The sequence below is a fragment of the Homo sapiens genome, chromosome 4 (assembly GCF_000001405.40).
Source record: "Homo sapiens chromosome 4, GRCh38.p14 Primary Assembly".
Taxonomy (NCBI): domain Eukaryota; kingdom Metazoa; phylum Chordata; class Mammalia; order Primates; family Hominidae; genus Homo; species Homo sapiens.
In genome coordinates this window covers 41238056-41256828 of record NC_000004.12, presented here as the reverse complement: position 1 = coordinate 41256828, position 18773 = coordinate 41238056, and the positions used below count along the sequence as shown (strand labels likewise).

At 41.2% G+C, this 18773-nt stretch overlaps 1 long non-coding RNA gene across 1 annotated transcript in view, besides 1 other annotated feature; it reads left to right on the top strand.

The window, feature by feature from the left end:
• Positions 102-18773, top strand: part of UCHL1-DT (UCHL1 divergent transcript) — a 36654-nt gene continuing 17982 nt past the window's right edge. The window contains exon 1 of the long non-coding RNA NR_102709.1: positions 102-270. This is a non-coding gene — a long non-coding RNA (UCHL1 divergent transcript). The remainder of the gene's footprint in view (positions 271-18773) is intronic.
• Positions 13980-14206: a silencer, noted in NCBI's record as "fragment chr4:41244640-41244866 (GRCh37/hg19 assembly coordinates)". NCBI's record gives its function as "represses an EF-1alpha promoter that drives an FKBP-Casp9 reporter gene in an ReSE screen in K562 erythroleukemia cells {active_cell/tissue: K562}" and the evidence as "EXISTENCE:reporter gene assay evidence [ECO:0000049][PMID:32094911]".

Below are 18773 nucleotides of genomic sequence, written 5' to 3'. Positions count from 1 at the left end.
CGGTCGCGGCCAGATGGGTACGAACCCCCCGTGCGCAGCGCGGAGTGGTACGGCCGGGCCCCCAAACCTTGCAGTCTCACTCGCCGGTGAGATAATCTGGTGGTTGTGGAGACGGGATTTGTTGGTGGGTGTTCCTTGAGTGTATGGAGCAGTCCTTTTGATGGAGTCTTTAATTTTGGGCGAAGTTTCTGGAAACCCATCCTTTCACCATCCCAATTACTCTAAAGCTCGAGTCTCTGAAGCATTTGAGAAAAAGCACAAATTCAACAGGTATATATTTAATACGAATGAATGTAAATGTGTGCCCCCCGCCCCAAATCTCTCAGCAGTTTGCGTTTAACCTTAGACAATTCCTCCTCCATGTTAAGTCAGACCAGTACCGAGGTTCGTTTTTAAGTGACTACCTAGAATAAAACAGAATCTGGTAGATAACAGATACTGCATTAGGAATGCTGATGTAATGTGACTCCCGCGGAAGAAATGGTTGGTCCTGGGAGAGCAGTAGAAAGCTGGGGGATGTGAGGGTAATACAAGACACAAAGAAGGCAGGCGATTGGAGACTTGAGAAAACAGATCCAGGGAAAAGATGGGTATGATTTTGAGCGAGAGGCTGTAAAAGGAAAAGCATTTTTAAAAGAATGGGAAGCTTTGAAAAATAAAATGTCTGAGTTCACCGCAGAATACTCCCAATGAAGAAGAAAGGGAATGGCAACCAAGGAAACCACTGTTCTCTAATGATCTCAGGTGATCTCTAATGATCTCTAGTCAAAAGATGGAGAGAGAAAGCATTTGCTGAAGAATGAATTTTAAAAGGGACCAAAATCTATAAGAATTGTGCCAGGAAAGCTAAGCTGCAGAACAAAGTGGGCTTGCAGAAATACTTAGGTAGCGAAGGAAGCAAGAAGGTTGAGTATTTTTTAAAAATAGGCACCGAAGAGAATAATGATGATGGTAAAAGAATAGACCTTCTATTTAGGAAGTTGAGGTTAACAGATGACAGAGGGAAGGGAGGGAATCAACATTTTTTGAGTTATTGTTTTTGGGGATCCTTTGCATGTGTCTCTCATTTAATCCTTAGAGGAGCCGTGAAGAGACTCATATTAGTGCAATTTTACAGATCAGAATCCCAGGCCTAGAGAAGTTAATTTGCTTACGGTCACAATTGAAAAGTAAAACTGAGAAGTAAACCCTGCTAAACTGGGCTCCAAGAGCCCATTCTTTATCTAAGATTCCACAACATTCTACTTCTATTTTCTTTCCATTTTTGCCATTAGAAAATGACCTTCACACACAAAAATGAGAGAGAAAAAAATTAGTAAGAGGAGCTTAATGGGTGAATCTTATGGTATGTAAATTTTCCCTCAATAAGGTTGTTAAAGAAAAAAAGAGGTGAAGGTCAAGACAAGTGACTAGGTTATATTGAATGAGTTCTTGCCTTTAGACAAAGACAAATTACATTTCCAATTTACTTCATTTATTCATTCACTCAACAAATATTAAGAACCTACTGTGTGCTGGGTGCCGAGCTTGGAAAGTTTGGAATTAGGCATACAAAGATGAACACAATAAACATGGAAATTTCCCTCATGCCGTTTTTTTGTTTGTTTGTTTTGTTTGTTTTGTTTTGAGACGGAGTCTCGCTCTGTCGCCCAAGCTGGAGTGCAGTGGCGCGATCTCGGCTCACTGCAAGCTCCGCCTCCCCGGTTCACGCCATTCTCCTGCCTCAGCCTCCGGAGTAGCTGGGACTACAGGCGCCCGCCACCACACCCGGCTAATTTTTTTTGTATTTTTAGTAGAGACGGGGTTTCACCGTGTTAGCCAGGATGGTCTCATCTGCTGACCTCGTGATCCGCCCGTCTCGGCCTCCCAAAGTGCTGGGATTACAGGCGTGAGCCACCGCGCCTGGCCCCCTCGTGCTGTTTTTATCAGTCATAAGAGTTGTATGAAAGGGAGCAGAGATCAGGAGCACCTAACCTAGTGGAGGGGATCAGGAAGGCGTCCTGAAGGAAGTGACATTTAAGCTAAGGGCTGATCGGCAAGCAGACGTTAGCAGTTATAAGTGATTGCCAAAATAACTAATAAAAGCAGTCATGAAATCACTGTCAGAAATATTTGTTGAAGGCATTAATTCATTCACATTCATATACATATATGGCCTACTGTTTGCCAGGAAGCATCAGAGCAGTGAATGAAACAACTCCCTGCTTACAAAGAGATGCCAGAGACTGGATATGAACAAACCTAAGCCTAATCTTTTTTAAAAAAAAAAAAAAGAAGAAGAAGAAGAAGTAGGGGGTGATTGGGAATATACTGCTGAAACTGCAGGCCAGAAGAGTTTATATCAGTCATTAGCCAAATGTTAGGACTCATAATTTTTTACTTTTAGAAACAATAAGATGGATGCATTTAGAACAAGTTATGCCAGCCAGAACTTATCTTCTTTTCTTTGGGGGTTATTAACTGGATGGACAGGTAGAACACTGTCATTGTATTTCTTATGCTGCCAGGGTTGGCATTGGTTGATACCACAGTTGAGGTGGTTTTATAGCTTATTTAATTGATTCTACCTTAAAAAAAAAAGTGGTACTGGATGGAGCTACCTCAACCTGTAGCCACCTGACAATGGTTTTAACCTTGTCTGGTGCCACTTTATTACAGCAGAGAAAAAGAGAGGTCGTGCATACAAGCAAGAACAAGCAGTCTAAATGGCAGAATTCTTAGCCAGGTGTGGTGGTGTGTACCTGCAGTCCCAGCTACTTGAGAGGCCAAAGTGGGAGGATTGCTTGAGCCCAGGAGTTCGAGGCTACAATGAGCTGTGATGGCATGACTGCATTCCAACCTGGGCAACAGAGTGAGACCCCATCTCTTAAAATAAATAAATACATAATAAATGGCAGAATTTTGGGATTAAAAAATAAGTTTAAAATAAAATGATGAAATTTAACAGGGATTTAGGTGACGATTACATAACCCTGTGAATATACTAAAAAACTAAAAAGTGGGTTTAGGTATCACAATAAAGCTATTAAAAATGTAACAGGAATATGTGTAAAGCTCTATATTATAGTAACAGTTGTCAATTATTGCCATACAGTTAATCTTTATATTAACTTTTTTCTTGATGCTATGATTGCAAAAGTATGAAATAATTTGGAAAATATCAAGTGAAAACAACACAATAGTTTGATTGTAACCTTTTAAAAATAAATACACAGAGATCAGAAGGAAAAACATTTTTTAAAAAAAATCATTTACAGATGCATTAATGAATTAGATCTGGCTTTGTGAACAGTACCTGAGAAAAAGATTCAAATATTTCAGGTGTCATAATTTGACTATAAAGCTAGTGCAATCTTTATTTATACCAGGAGTGAGAGATTCAATTTCATTTTAATCATAGGTTCCTGAAGGAGAGTCCTGAGTCCAGTAGGGGGAAAAATGCTGTGATTGATTAGTGATGTCTACCACGAGTATGGGAAAGGGAAGTGGTAAGGATAACCAGGTATTTGCTAACCTTTGGCTAGATTAATATAATATTCAAGATCTAATCCACTCACAGAATTGACCAGACTATAACTGGATTATGATGCCCAGCCTGGCATATAATGAACACTCAATAAATACTTTTCAACTGAAAATTCGAACTACCACACTTCAAAAGAGACATTGACATATTAGAGAGTTTTCAGAGACTGAGCGCCAAAATAATGAACAAAGGTGGTTGAAGAAATTGAGAAGACAGTATATGATGTGGAGAAGAGAAAGGGTTTGTGTGTGTGTTTGGGGGATGGGGAGGGGAGTTACATGATACCAAATGCTCAAAAATACAAAGAGGGCGAGAATAATCTTTATGATTATTTAAGAATACAGGACAGACAGGTAGAAGTCAGATGAAAATATTAGTTTATATAAGAAAGCACTTAATAATTAGAGTGGTTCAACATTTATGTAAATTCTTCACATGTAATGGTGAGCATGCTTTTAGCAGCATAATCATAGCTAACACTTACTGATTGCTTACGGATGCCAGGCACTACTTCTTTGTGTTTTCTGTGTATTAACTCTTTTAATCAACATAACAACCTATTAGGTAGGTTACTATTATTATTCTCATTTAGAAATGAAGATCAGAAAGGTTAAGTTCTTTGCCTATGGTTATTTAAGTCATGAGAACTGAAATTTGACCACAGACAGTCTGCACTCTTGACCACTGTACTATATTATACCAGGAGTCCTCAAGTCCCAGGCTGAGGACTGGTACAGGTCTGTGGCCTGTTAGGAACTGGGTGGCACAGCAAGAGGTGAGCGGCGGGTGAGCAAACATTACTGCCTGAGCTCCGCCTCCTGTCAGATCAGCAGCAGTATTAGATTCTCATAGGAGCATAAACCCTATTATGAACTGCACATGCGAGGGATCTAGGCTGTGTGCTTCTTATGAGAATCTAATGACTGATGATCTGAGGTGGAACAGTTTCATCCCGAAACCATTCCCACCCCCAGTCCGTGGAAAAATTGTCTTCCATGAAACTGGTCCCTGGGGCCAAAAAGGCTGGGGACCGCTGTATTATACTATGTCTACCAAGGGCAGAATACCCAACTAAAACTGACTGAAAGCTTAGGACATGAATTCCCTCTCTTAACTCAATGACTGGAGGTTGGTGGTTCTAGGGTTGTCCATGTGTCAACATAAATAACAGAGAAATGTTCTCTAAAAGAAAGTGATATTTATTCAGGAATAGGGCATTGCAATGGAAATACACATGCCATAGTAAACTGTGTGTATATTCAGGAAGATACAAGAAGACAAAGGTTTTTTAAGGACAAATGAGGAATATTACATAATTGTTTTGAAATAATTATCCTTGGCTACAAGGATCAATAACAAGGGTGACACCAGTCTGAGGCTGGACAAGCAGTTTCTAGGCACAAGTCCTTGCAGAAGGATTTTTTATGTAAGATCGTGATGGCCTTTGTACAAAGTTGTGGGTTTTGCAGTCTTTTGTGATAATTTTTGTTATCAGGCATTTATGCATGAGAATCATTCTCTTCCTGGCTTTTCCCAGCTCTATTTGTCAGAGGCTTTTTGTGGTTTGTTTGTTTTTTGTTTCTGTTTTTGTTTTTTGAAACAGGGTTTCGCTCTTGTTGCCCAGGCTGGAGTGCAGTGGTGCAGTCTTGGCTCACTGCCACCTCCGCCTCCCGGGTTCAAGCGATTCTCCTGCCTCAAGCCTCCCGAGTAGCTGGGATTATAGGCATGTGCCACCACGCCCGACTAATTTTTATTTTTAGTAGAGATGGGGTTTCACCATGTTGGTCAGGCTGGTCTCGAACTCCTGACCTCAGGTGATCCACCCTCCTCGGCCTCCCAAAGTGCTGGGATTACAGATGTGAGCCACGGCGACTGGTCTTGTTTTTGTTTTGAAACAGGGTCTTGCTGTGCCGCCTAGGCTAGAGTGCAGTGGCAGGATCATAGTGTACGACAGCCTTGAACTCTGGACTCAAGCTATCATCATGTGTCAGCGCCCTGAGTAGCTGGGTATGCAGGTGTGCACCACCACACCTGGATAAGTTTTTCTTTATCTTTTTTTTTTTTTTTTTTTTTTTGAGACAGAGTTTCGCTCTTGTTGCTAGGCTGGAGTGCAGTGGCGCGATCTCAGCTCACCGCAACCTCCCCTTCCCGGGTTCAAGCGATCCTCCTGCCTCAGCCTCCTGAGTAGCTGGGATTACGGGCATGTGCCACCACGCCCAGCTAATTTTGTATTTTTAGTAGAGACAGGGTTTCTCCATGTTGGTCAGGCTGGTCTCAAACTCCCAACCTCAGATGATCCACCCGCCTCGGCCTCCTAAAGTGCTGGGATTACAGGTGTGAGCCATCTCACCCAGCCTGTTTTTTTAACACAAGTGACTCCATTTTGATTCTGACAAAGTTCACACATGGCTCAATGATCTTATCAAGAATTTAGGGTTTTTCCGTCTTTCCAGTCCACTGTCTTTACGTTATTGTTGAAAGTGTCATCTATAATGGTTGTAAGGTACCTACAGAAGTTCTAAGAATCACATCCTCACACAAGGTCCAAAGGCAAGAAGGAAAATGATATTCTCTTTCACTCTTGCTGTTTCTCAAGTCTGAAGTTTTGCAGAAGCCCCACCCTCCTGAAGAATTCCTTTTAGGTAGCATTGGCCTGAATTTAATCACATATTCATGCACTAGTCAAAAGAGAGGCTGAGAAAGTAAATATGTAGCATTTTTAGACTCCGAGAAGTAAGGTGGGCTTTGCTACCAAGGAATAGGGTAGGGGCAAGGCTACTGGACAGGCAGCTACCAGTGTCTGCCACATCATACCTGGAACTTTTTAAAGACTTGATGAATATCTGTTAATGATGTGGTAGAAAGAACTTCTGCTGGAGGGGGATGGGCAGGAAGTTTGAAATCTTAAGAATACAAGACAAACAGAAATCAGAGGAAAATATTAATTTATATAAGAAAGCATGCTGGGCGCAGTGGTTCATGCCTGTAATCCCAGCACTTTGGGAGGCCGAGGCAGGTGGATCACCTGAGGTCAGGAGTTCAAGACCAGCCTGACCAACATGGTGAAATCCCATCTCTACTCAAAATATAAAAATTAGCCTGGCGTGGTGGCACGCGCCTGTAATCCCAGCTACTCAGGAGGCTGAGACAGGAGAATTGCTTAAACCTGGGAGGCAGAGGATGCAGTGAGCTGAGATCCCACCACTGCACTCCAGCCTGGGCAACAAAGTGAAACTCTGTAGGTAGGTAGGTAGGTAGGAAGGAAGGAAGGAAGGAAGGAAAAGTTAAAATTAGTGTGCTGACCAAGCTGGTGTGGGGGTGAGGGGGACCCCTAGAAAAGAACATACAAGAACGCCACAGACACCTCTGTTCTTGCCCAGAGTCCAGCATTTTTTTGGATGAATATATACTCCAAGATCCCTTTTTGCTTTAATATTCTGTGATTTTCCTCAGTAAGTAATTTTTTTTTTTTTTTGAGACAGATCTTGCTTTGTTGCCCAGGCTGGAGTGCAGCAGCGCAATGGGCTCACTGCAACTTCACTGCGCCTCCTGGGTTCAAGCAATTCTCCTGTTTCAGCTTCCTGAGTAGCTGGAACTACATGCGTGCGCCACCATGCCTGGCTAATTTTTGTATTTTTAGCCAGGCATGGCTGACCTCAGGTGATTCACCCACCTCAGCCTCCCAAAGTGCTGGGATTACAGGCGTGAGCCCCCATGCCCAGCCAAGTAATTTCTTTTCACTGATATTGAGATACCCACAAAGTACTGAGGAGAATATGGTTCTGTGTGTCTTCAAAGGAAAAAGAAGTAAAGATGCAATTTGGTGTGATGGTGAACATTATAGATGATTATTTAGAAGACCTTGATTCCAGTCTTCCTGACTCTGCCTCTAAAGAATGGTGTGATCTTTGGGTCCCAGTTTTCTTGTTTATAATCCTAAGCATTTTAGATTCCACTGAGTATGTATACAGGCAGAGAAACAAAATCAATGGATGAATATGTGTTTTTTGTTTTTTTTTGACGGAGCCTCACTCTGATGCCCAGGCTGGAGTGGCACGATCTCGGCTCACTGCAACCTCCACCTCCCAGGTTCAAGTGATTCTCTTGCCTCAGCCTCTTGAGTAGCTGGGATTACAGGCACCCGCCACCACGCCCGGCTAATTTTTGTATTTTGAGTAGAGATGGGGTTTCACCATGTTGACCAGGCTGATCTGGAACTCCTCACCTCAAGTGATCCACCCACCTCAGCCTTCCAAAGTGCTGGGATTACAGGTGTGAGCCACCATGCCCGGCCTGAATATGTTGCTCTTTCTAAAAAAAAGATTCTGATTCACCAGCAATAGAATTTTTTATCATAAGCATTATTTTTCTTACAATAATGAAGATTTGGGATGGACCCTTTAAAAACTACCTTCTGATGATTCTGATAACTAACAGACACTCATTGTTAAGTAGCTGAATCTGACCACGCGTAAGGATGTAGTTTGAGGCTGAGAAGTAATAGACGAATTTTCTGCTCTGTCAAACATTTGATGGGTTTCTATTCAAACATATTATCTTCTCAGGTAATTGGAACACTTTTTAACAGCTTATTGAGGTACATTTGACATACCATAAAATTCGCTCATTGTAAGTGTACAATTCAACGCTTTCTAGTAGAGTTATGCATTTGTACAACCATCACCACAATCAGGTTCTAAAACATTTCCATTACCCACAAAAGCTCCCTCTTGCCCTTTGCAGTCAATTTCCTCTCCCAGCCCAGCCAACTACTTATGTTTTCTTGTCTTTATAGATTTGCCTATCCTGGACGTTCCTGGACATTCACATACATGGAATCATGCAATACTTAGTCTTTCATGTCTAGCTTCTTTTACTTAGCATACTTTTGAGGTTCCTTCATGTTCTAGCATGTATCAGAGGTCAATTTCTCTTTATTGTTGGATGGTACTCCATTGTACAGATACATCGCATTTTGTTGTCCATTCAGTGGTTGATGGGTATTTGGGTTGCTTCTAGTTTTAGCTACTATGAATAACACTACCGTGAAGATTTGTGTATGTCTATATGTTGACAAATGTTTTCATTTCTTTTAGTTAAATACCTAGAAGTGGAAATGTTGGGTTGAATGGTAACTCTATGTTTAACCTTTTAAGACATTTTCAAACTGTTTTCCAAAGCAATTGTACTATTTTACATTCTCACTTGCAATGTATGAGAGTCGCAGTTTCTCCACATCTTTGCCACATCTGCTGTTGTCAATGTCTTTTTGACTAGAGCCTTTACTGTGGGTATGTGGTGGTATCACTGCACTTTTAATTTGCATTTCCCTGATGACAACTGATGTTGAGCATCTTTTCATGGTGCTTATTAGCCATGCAAGTGTCTTCTTTTGGTGAAATGTCTATTCAAATCTTTTGCCCATTTTTAGTGAGTTTTTCATCTTATTAATGGATTATAATGGTTCTTTATATATTCTGAATACTAGATCCTTATCAAATATTTGATTTACAAATACCATCTCCTGTTCTGTGACTTTAAATTTCTACTCAGTGTTTTTGAGTAGGTTTTTGTTTTGTTTTTTAGAGATAGGATCTCACTATTGTGCCCAGGCTGGCCTAAGGAGGCAGAGGTGGTAGGATGGCTTGAGATAAGAGTTCAAGGACACCTTGGGCAAAATATTGGTTCATGGCTATTGACTATTGTCACATGCCACCACCCCAAGCTGTACGTAGTGTTTTTTGAAGAACAAAAGTTTTTAATTTTGATGAAGTCCAATTTATCAGTTTTTCCTTTATGGGTCATCTAAGAAATCTTTGCCTAATCCAAGGTTACAAAGATTTTCTTTTATTTATTTTTTGTTAAGAAGTGTTAATGTTTTAGCTCTTACATTTAGGTCTGTGATGCATTTTGAGTTAATTTTTGTGTATGGAGTAAAGTAAGGGTTTAAATTCATTTTTTTGTATATGTGTATCTAATTGTCCTAGCATTGTTTGTTAAAAGGGTTATACTTTGTCCACTCATTTGCCTTGGCATCTTTGTCAAATATCTTTTGACTATAAATGTAATGATTTATTTCTGGTCTCTTAATTATGTTCCACAGAGTGATTTGTCTATCTTGATTACTATGTGCCTTGATTAATATGATTTTATAGTTAAGTTGTGAAATCAGGTAATGCAAGTTCTTCAACTTTGTTTTCTTTTTAAAATTGTTTTGGCTATTCTAAGTCCTTTGCATTTTCATATACATTTTTGGATCTGCAGACAGGCTTGTTAATTTCAATCCCCACCTCAAGAAAAGCCTTTCGGGGTTTTAATAGAGATTAGGTTGAATCTATATATTTATTTGGGTAGAATTGCCATCTTAACAATATTGAGTCTCCCTGGCCATGAACATGGACTGTCCTCCATTTATTTAGAGCTTTAAAAAATTATTTCAGTAATATTTTGTAGTTTTCAGTATAAAAGCCTTATACTTCTTTTGCTAAATTTATTTTTAGGTTTTTTTTCTTTTTGATGCCATTGTGAATTCTTTTTGATGCCATTGTGAATGAAATTGTTTTCTTCATTTCAGTATCACATTGCTCATAGCTAGTATGTAAAATACAATTGATTTTTATATTCCCGCAACCTAGCTAAACCCTTATTTTATTCTAGTCATTTTGTTGTTGGTTCTTTAGGATTTTCTACATAAAGGATCACTCCAGTGTGTAGCTGCCTTCTTCTCAGTTTGGGTCTTAAAAAAATGTCTCTTCTCAGTTTGGGTTTTAAAAAAATTCTTATTTTCCTGTGTTACCTGTCTTTCTAAGAATGACCCTATGTCTCGTAGCTGAGTTATCAGCCAGTGACTGGTGAGAGATTATGCTCAAACACCTTGAGCCTGCAAGGTTTCCATGCTTTGCTGTGGATTTGTGTTTGGTTTGGGGAGTGCATTCCAAGTTTGAAAAGTTTTCAAATCTGTCTTCACCTTTGCTTTCTCTTAGGCTCTCTTGGGTCTCTACTGCATGTGTACAGGCACCCAGACATCTGAGGATGAGAGCTTAGTATCTGAGTTTTCAATGGCTATCTCATTTCCAGGAGCTTCCTCACCTGAGACTGCAGCCTCAGGCTAGGAGAGCTGAAGGCTTTTCTCATTCACCGCTGGGCATAGATTTCCTGCCCTTCACTCCAAATCAAGTCATCACTTTGTCTGCTGCTGGCTTTCAAGGCCAGCTCCACCCTGGTAAAATTACTGTGCTGACCAAGCTGGGGGTGAGAGGGATCCTTAGGAATGAACATGCAAGAATGCCAGAGACACCTTCATTCTTGCCCAAAGCCCAGCATTTTTTGGGTGGATATATGCTCTTCAATTTGTTCTTTGCTTTTAGTTGGTTTCCAGAACCCTAAAATGATACTCCTTGACAATTTTATCCAGTTTTATAATTATTTTCGGGAGAGATGATTTATCAGTTTCCTTACTCTCCCATAGCTGGAAGTCCAGCAACATTTATTGCACACATTCTATATGCCAGGCACTGGTAATTCCAGTAACAACTCTATGAGGATCGTAATGTTATCCTCTCCATTTTGCAGATGAGAAGACTGAGGCTTAGCAAGATGAGGCTTAGCAAGATGAAGTACTGTGCTTAAGGTCACCAGAATCCAAACCCCAGAAGGCTGACTGCAGAGCTAGTTTACTTGACTAGTATATCATATCCCCTGCACTCCTGTCTTCGGCCTGGTATTGAGTGATTAATTATCTTCTCTAGCATTTGTTCTTTTTATTAGACCATTTAGGTTGACTTTGCTGCCATTTTTGTCACTTAGCACAAAATGTCAGTCTTCAGATTTTTCACTTAAATGGAAATATCAGTCCTAATTCTTTGTCACTCAAACAAGTGGCAGTTTATAACACTTAACAAAGAGCTTGAAATACAATATTCATGGTTAGCAAGACAATCCCACGTGTCCAGTTGACTGGACCAATCTCCGTATTCCAGAGTAGAGCCAGAGCAGAAATCAGGGGCAAGCTTTCCCATAGTTAGATAACCAAAGCCTCTAGTCTCTTAAGACTGGTGAGATCTAACCTCTCAAGACTGAGTCCTTTGTTTCGTTCAGTGTTCTGTAGGATTTTAAATGGGATCGCTATTCAGAATGTCCACTGTGCTAATGGACTGAAGATGATAGAGTTCTCTCCAATCACTAGCAACTGAGATAGAGACAGTGAAGCTTATCAAATCTGACCATGTGCAATGTTAAAAAACAAAAAGATGGCTGGGTGTAGTGGCTCATGCCTGTAATCCCATTGCTTTGGGAAGCCAAGGCAGGAGGACCACTTGAGGCCAGGAGTTCGAGACCAGCCTGAACAACATAGCAAGACCATCGTCTCTACGAGAAATAAATTAAAATTAGCTGGATTTGGTGGCGTGTGCCTGTAATTGCAGCTACTGGGGAGGCTGAGGTGGGAGGATCACTTGAGCCCAGGGGTTCGAGGTCACAGTGAACTGTGATGGCACCACTGCACTCCAGCTTGGGTGACAGGACAGGACACCGTCTCTAAAATCTTTTTTTTTAAAAGAGAGAACTTCTGGCTGATTCCTTCTCACTTTGACCTTGAACACAATGAGAAAATGAATAAATGATGTTAAAAAGAAGGAAACAAGGCCAGGCCCAGTGGCTCACATCTGTAATCCCAGCACTTTGGGAGGCCTAGGCAGGTGAATCACTTGAGGTCAGGAGGTCAAGACCAGCTGGCCAACATGGTAAAACCCTGTCTCTACTAAAAAAAAAAAAATACAAAAATGAGCTGGGAATGGTGGCACTCGCCTGTAATCCCAGCTACTCAGGAGGCTGAGGCAAGAGAATTGCTTGAACCCAGGAGGCGGAGGTTGCAGTGAGCCAAGACAGTGCCACTGCACTTCAGCCTGAGCAACAGAGTAAGACTCTGTCTCAAAAAAATAAATAAATAAATAAAATAAAATGAAGGAAGCGAAAGAGCTATCCCCAGTACAGCTTGGTAAATGAAGCCCTCAAGTAGTGATAATTGGCCAGACAAAGAAGTGTGGGAAGGCAGAGAAGAAGAAGAGTAAGGTTAGGGGAGCATGAAAGCCCTGCTCTCCAGCTTTTATGTACAAGCTCCTGTGCCTTGAAACAAGGTATATTCCCTGTGGTCTGTAGTGGACGCCTCAGACTGTTTCACCCAAGTGCCCTTCCAGTGTGCCTTCTTATATTTCAGAGGCTAGAGAGCTAAAAATTGTATTTTCCAGACTTCCTTCCAGCAAAGCTTCCTAATATAAATTCATTTCTATCACTTGTACATAATTGTATGAGATTTGAAAGGGGGGCATGAAAAAGAGACTATCTTTCTGCCTGTTTTCTGCTGACAAGCACGGTCATGGAATTACAGGGTTTCTCTAAAGCAACATTCATTCCAGTGTCTTTCCCTCAGCCTCCTGGATGTTGAGAGGGAATCATGCATCATCAGAGGCTGGACTCCATGTACAGTGCCCACTCACAGACTTTATAGATTTGGAGAGCAGTTGTGGGAGTGACAATAGCAGTGGCAGATTCTGCATCCCTGGATTGCAGCTGCAGCAGCATGCTCGTGAATTCAACAGGGCCAGTGGTGCTCCCTGAAGTCAGAGTTCCCTTGGCAGGTCAGTTCTACAGTGTTCGGGGAGTCAATCCTGAAGGGCCAGCCCCAAGTTTCATCCTCCAGCATTTCCAGTGGTTTTGTCAATACCTAATTCCCTATATTAAATCCCTTTCTACTTAAAATACCTAGAGTAGTTTTGGACTCCTGTACTGATATGCTGAACGCATACCAGTGTGGTACATGACATGATTGTAGGTGAATCACAAATAGGTAATAATATTTTTTCATTTTAACACATATTATAAAAGTTGCATATTTATATATGTATATGTGTATAATCAGAACATCAAGTTTGTGATTTCACAGCTGTTAAATCTTTGGCTAAGTCTAAAATATCCTAAGTAGGCCAGGTGTGGTGGCTTACGCCTGTGATCCCAGCACTTTGAGAGGCTGAGGCAGGTGGATCACTTGAGGTCAGGAGTTCAAGACCAGCCTGGCCAACATGGTGAAAACCTGTCTCTACTAAAAATACAAAAATTAGCCGACCGTGGTGGCAGGCACCTGTAATCCCAGCTACTTAGGAGGCTGAGGCAGGAGAATCTCTTGAACCTGGGAGGCGGAGGTTACAGTGAGCCAAGATCGCAGCACTGTACTCCAGCTGGGTGACAGAGTGAGACTCCATCTCAAAATAAATAAATAAATATCCTAAGTAAATAATATTCCTTAATAATGTTAATATGGCAAAAATGATAGAAGTCATTCATAAATCCTGAAGATAGGATAACTCTGCTCTAATGACAGGACTCTTGCTAAGTTGAAGGGGTAGATGATAGAGTGTATTTATGAAGGCAGGATACTCAAGCTCAGCACTCCCCAAATATTTTATGGTGTGAGTAAGTATTTCTGTCTGACACCTTTTTTTTTTTTTTTTTTGAGACAGAGTCTCGCACTGTTGCCCAGGCTGGAATGCAGTGGCGTGATCTTGGCTCGCTGCAAGCTCCGCCTCGCAGGTTCACAGCATTCTCCTGCCTCAGCCTCCTGAGTAGCTGGGACTACAGGCACCCACTACCACACCTGGTTAATTTTTTGTATTTTTTTTTTTTAGTAGAGATAGGGTTTCACCGTGTTAGCCAGGATGGTCTTGATCTCCTGACCTCCTGATCTACCTGCTTCGGCCTCCCAAAGTGTTGGGATTACAGGCGTGAGCCCCTGCACGTGGCCCTGTCTGACATCTTAAGCGACTGAAGGAAAGAGATAAGGAAGGAAAGAGTACTTGCTTTTTTGAGTTACACAAAGGGCATTGAACAAGTTATCCCCACTGAATTCTCATACCAACCTCTGACATCTGTATTTCTACCTTAGTTTTACAGATAGGAAAACTGAGGCCTCAAAGAGACCATTTAACTTGCTAAGTCACACAGCTACTAAGTGTTCAAGTCAGGGTCTGAACCCAGCTTCACTGGATTTCGAAGCCTGTGCACCTTCAGTTCTCCTGCTTGCCTTCCATCCAAGGCCCAGCCCTACAGCCTTAGTCACTACCACCAGAAATACAAGTTAAGCTTCCCTGCAGAGAAGAAAGAACTTAAATGATTTCTGTAATGTCTAGGGCCACAGCAGGTCACCCAACTCTCATAAGCATGGCTCACCTTGAGGTTCAAGAATCTAGTTTGAATTTATAATTAGCATGACATTAATTATTGACAAGTACTTGCTCAACATTTTAAAACTTGCTTGGCAATTCCTTTGTCAATAATGTTTCCCCAGAAGCAAGGTCTGACATCCAGACATTTTAAAGTTAAAAATAGCACAATAAAAATGATACATAATGCGAAGAAATTACTGCACTTAGTTCCCATGGTAAAGTCAGTTTTCCTCCTGTTTCCTATAAGCAGTTCATTAACTGGGTAGTCACAAGAATATGTGGAAGAAGGAAAAAATAAACGTGAAAGAAGGCAGTGCATGTTCTCATTAAATTTCATCTTACTACATATACTCATATAGTCATTCACAAATATATTTTGAGCACCTACTACATGGCACACACTATGCTAGGCTTACCTGGGTTGGGAGTGGGATTGGCAAATGACAGACATAAGACATAGACCATGTTTTCTAGATTTTTTAAAATGTCTTCAATTTTAAGATAAATCATCCATTTAAAAATTGCTTTTTTGGGGGGGATCAAGAGGCAGGCAGGAGGACCCAGTACATTTAATATATGTTTCTCTTTTCAAAAGCATTTAAACATAAAAAAAAATGCATCTAAGAAATAAGGAAGCACTATATGTTGGTTTTTTTTTAATCAAGCTCTTCCCAACCAATTTGTATTCAGGATAGCTAGCAGTTTGCACTGTTTGCAATGAAAGAAAAAATGTCTCGTATTCCTAAGGTACAGAGAAAGGGCTGAGGACATAGGAGAGATGATAAAACTAGTAGTAGATAATGAGAGGTACACTCAGTACAAGTGAAATATAGATCTTCCTCTATTGTCCCTCAGTTACTATTCTTGTAGAGTTGTAAAACTGGAAATAAGAGGGCTTTGGCTGGATACAGTGGCTCATGCCTGTAATTCCAGCTACTTGGGTGGCTGAGGTGGGAGGACTGCATGAGCCCTGGAGTTCAAGACCAGCCTGGGCCACAAAGTGAGACCCCTATCTCAAAAAAAAAAAAAAAGCTGGGCACAGTGGCTCAAGCCTATAAGCCTGGCGCTTTGGGAGGCCGAGGTGGGTGGATCACCTGCGGTCAGGAGTTCAAGACCAGCCTGCAACATGGCGAAACCCCATCTCTACTAAAAAATACAAAAATTAGCCAGGCGTGGCTGGGCGCGGTGGCTCACGCCTGTAATCCCAGCACTTTGGGAGGCCGAGGCGGGCGGATCATGAGGTCAGGAGATCGAGACCATCCTGGCTAACATGGTGAAACCCTGTCTCTATTAAAAATACAAAAACAAAATTAGCCAAGCGTGGTGGTGCACGCCTTTAGTCCCAGCTACTCGGGAGGCTGAGGTGGGAGAATTGCTGGAGCCCTGGAGACAGAGGTTGCAGTGAGCTGAGATCGCACCACTGCACTCCAGCCTGGTGACAGAGTGAGACTCCATCTCAAAAAAATACTACTCTTCCATAAATCTACCACCATTAGAAATTTACAGTTTAATGTCTCCATATATTCCTTCTAGTACTTGACCATTTGTGTAGAAAACTTCTACTAGGTCAGCCATAATGCCAGAAGCAGATATCCAGCTTGTTTTTTTTCCCTGAGACAGAATCTTGCTTTGTTGTCCAGGCTAGAGTGCAGTGGAGCGATTTCGGCTTACTGCAACATCCGCCTCCCAGGTTCAAGTGCTTCTTGTACCTCAGCCTCCTGAGTAGCTGGGATTACAGACATGTACCACCATGCCCAGCTAACTTTTGTATTTTCAGTAGAAACAGGGTTTCACCATGTTGGCCAGGCTGGTCTTGAACTTCTGGCCTTATGTAATTCGACCGCATTGGCCTTCCAAAGTGCTGGGATTACAGGTGTCAGCCATCACTCCTGGCCCAGCTTGTTTCTTTTTATTAGCTACTGAATTTTCACCAGCTGCCCCTACTGCTTGAAAACTTGCCAGTGTCTAACCGGCCAGAATTGAGCCTCACACTTACACGGAAAGGGTAATCCAATCACTCAAGGAGAATGCCAAGCACATTGTTTTTCAAGAAGGAAAAATGAAAAGAAATCCACATTGTATCTCAAAAAGGACAAGTTCAAAAACCATGTTGTATCTCAAAAGTGAAAAATAAAAAAAAATTAATCTTTAAATATAAGCAGTGCAACTGCAGAATACCAAGAACAAAGAGAAGATTTAAAAATCGTTGATAAAGAAAACATAAATGAAAATGACATCGGTCTCCTCCACAGCAACCAGGGAGGCCAGAAGATGGTAGACTAGTGTCTCCAAAATGTTGAGAGAAAATAACTGTCATCCTTGAATTTCCTATCCGTAAAACTGTCTTTCAAAACCAGAGTGAAAATTTATATATAACTAGGAACTGCATTTGCTATCAAGAGACGCAAACAAAAGAAACATCTAAAGGATGTTTGATCTAGTAGATGGACTGAGAAAAAAATAAAGGATTAAAACAAATTCAGGTGGGGCATGATGGCATGTATCTATAGTCCCGGCTACTTAGGAGGCTGAGCTGGGAGGATCACTGGAGGCCAGGAGTTTGAGGCTGCAGTGCACCAGATCATGCCTGTGAATAGTCACTGCACTCCAGCCTGGGTAACATAGTGAGACCCCATCTCTAGAACAAACAAAAACCAATATTCAGTGGAAGCACACATGTAAATGCAAATAAATATTATTTATGTATAATAATAATATCTAATTCTGGCCAGGCGCAGTGGCTCACGCTTGTAATCCCAGCACTTTGGGAGGCCAAGGCGGGTGGATCACGAGGTCAAGAGATCGAGACCATCCTGGCTAACACAGTAAAACCCTGTCTCTTCTAAAAATACAAAAAATTAGCCGGGCATGGTGGCGGGTGCCTGTAGTCCCAGCTACTTGGGAGGCTGAGGCAGGAGAATGGCATGAACCCAGGAGGTGGAGCTTGCAGTGAGCCAAGATCGTGCCACTGCACTCCAGCCTGGGCAACAGAGCAAGACTCTGTCTCAAAAAAAAAATTAATAATAATAATAATAATATCTAACTCATTGGATTAATACAAGAATAATGCTAGAATACTGTTCTGCATAGTATGTTGGAAGGAAGTATAATGAGAATAAAGTATTCAAAGGTTCCTTTTATTGTTCTGGCAAAGGTTAAGAAATCATTTACCTTTAGACTTAGTTAAGTAAAATAGTCATGGTAACATTTCAAGGGAAATTAATCAAGAAAAGTAAAAGTATATAAATTCAAACAATTAGAGATAAATAGAATAAGGGAAAAAATGCAAACACCACAAAAGACAAGATAAGAGAAAAGCAGCACAGAAAATCCAAGATCAATGGAATAAAAAGGTAAGATATATTATTTGGGCAAAAGCCCAAATAAAGTATACTAAATGTAAATGGACTAAACTTAGATTTTAAAATCAAATTATGTTTTTAAAATCTAGATATGTGTCATTATTTTTTTAGACAGAGTCTTGCTCTGTCACCCAGTCTCGAGTGCCATTGTGTGATCATGGCTCACTGCAGCCTCAACCTCCTGGGCTCTCAAGTGAAGGAGGCCTCAGCCTCCTGAATAGGTGGGACTATACTCATGCACTACCCCACCCAGCTAATTAATTCTTGTAGAGATAGGGTCTTGCTATGTTGCCCAGGCTGGTGATATGTGCTATTTTAAAGAGACATGCCTCATGCATTACAATATGGCAAGATTGAAAGTAAAAAGCAAAGGAAAGCTTTCCAAGAAAAAGATCAACCAAAGAAACCTAGTATAGTTATATTAATAGCGTAATAGATTTTTAAGCAAAAAGCATTCTTAGAGATAGAGGGCCTCATTATGGTTACATTTTAAATTCACCAGGAAGATATAACAATTCTACAGTTGTATGCTTCTAATAAAGTACCCTCAAATGTATAAAGCGAAAACTGATAGGACCACAGGAGAAAGCTACCCGCCCCACACCAGGCTTGGGGCATAGCCAGGGCATTGCAGCCTCTGAGAGGAGTTGCTGTCAAGGTCTCAGACCC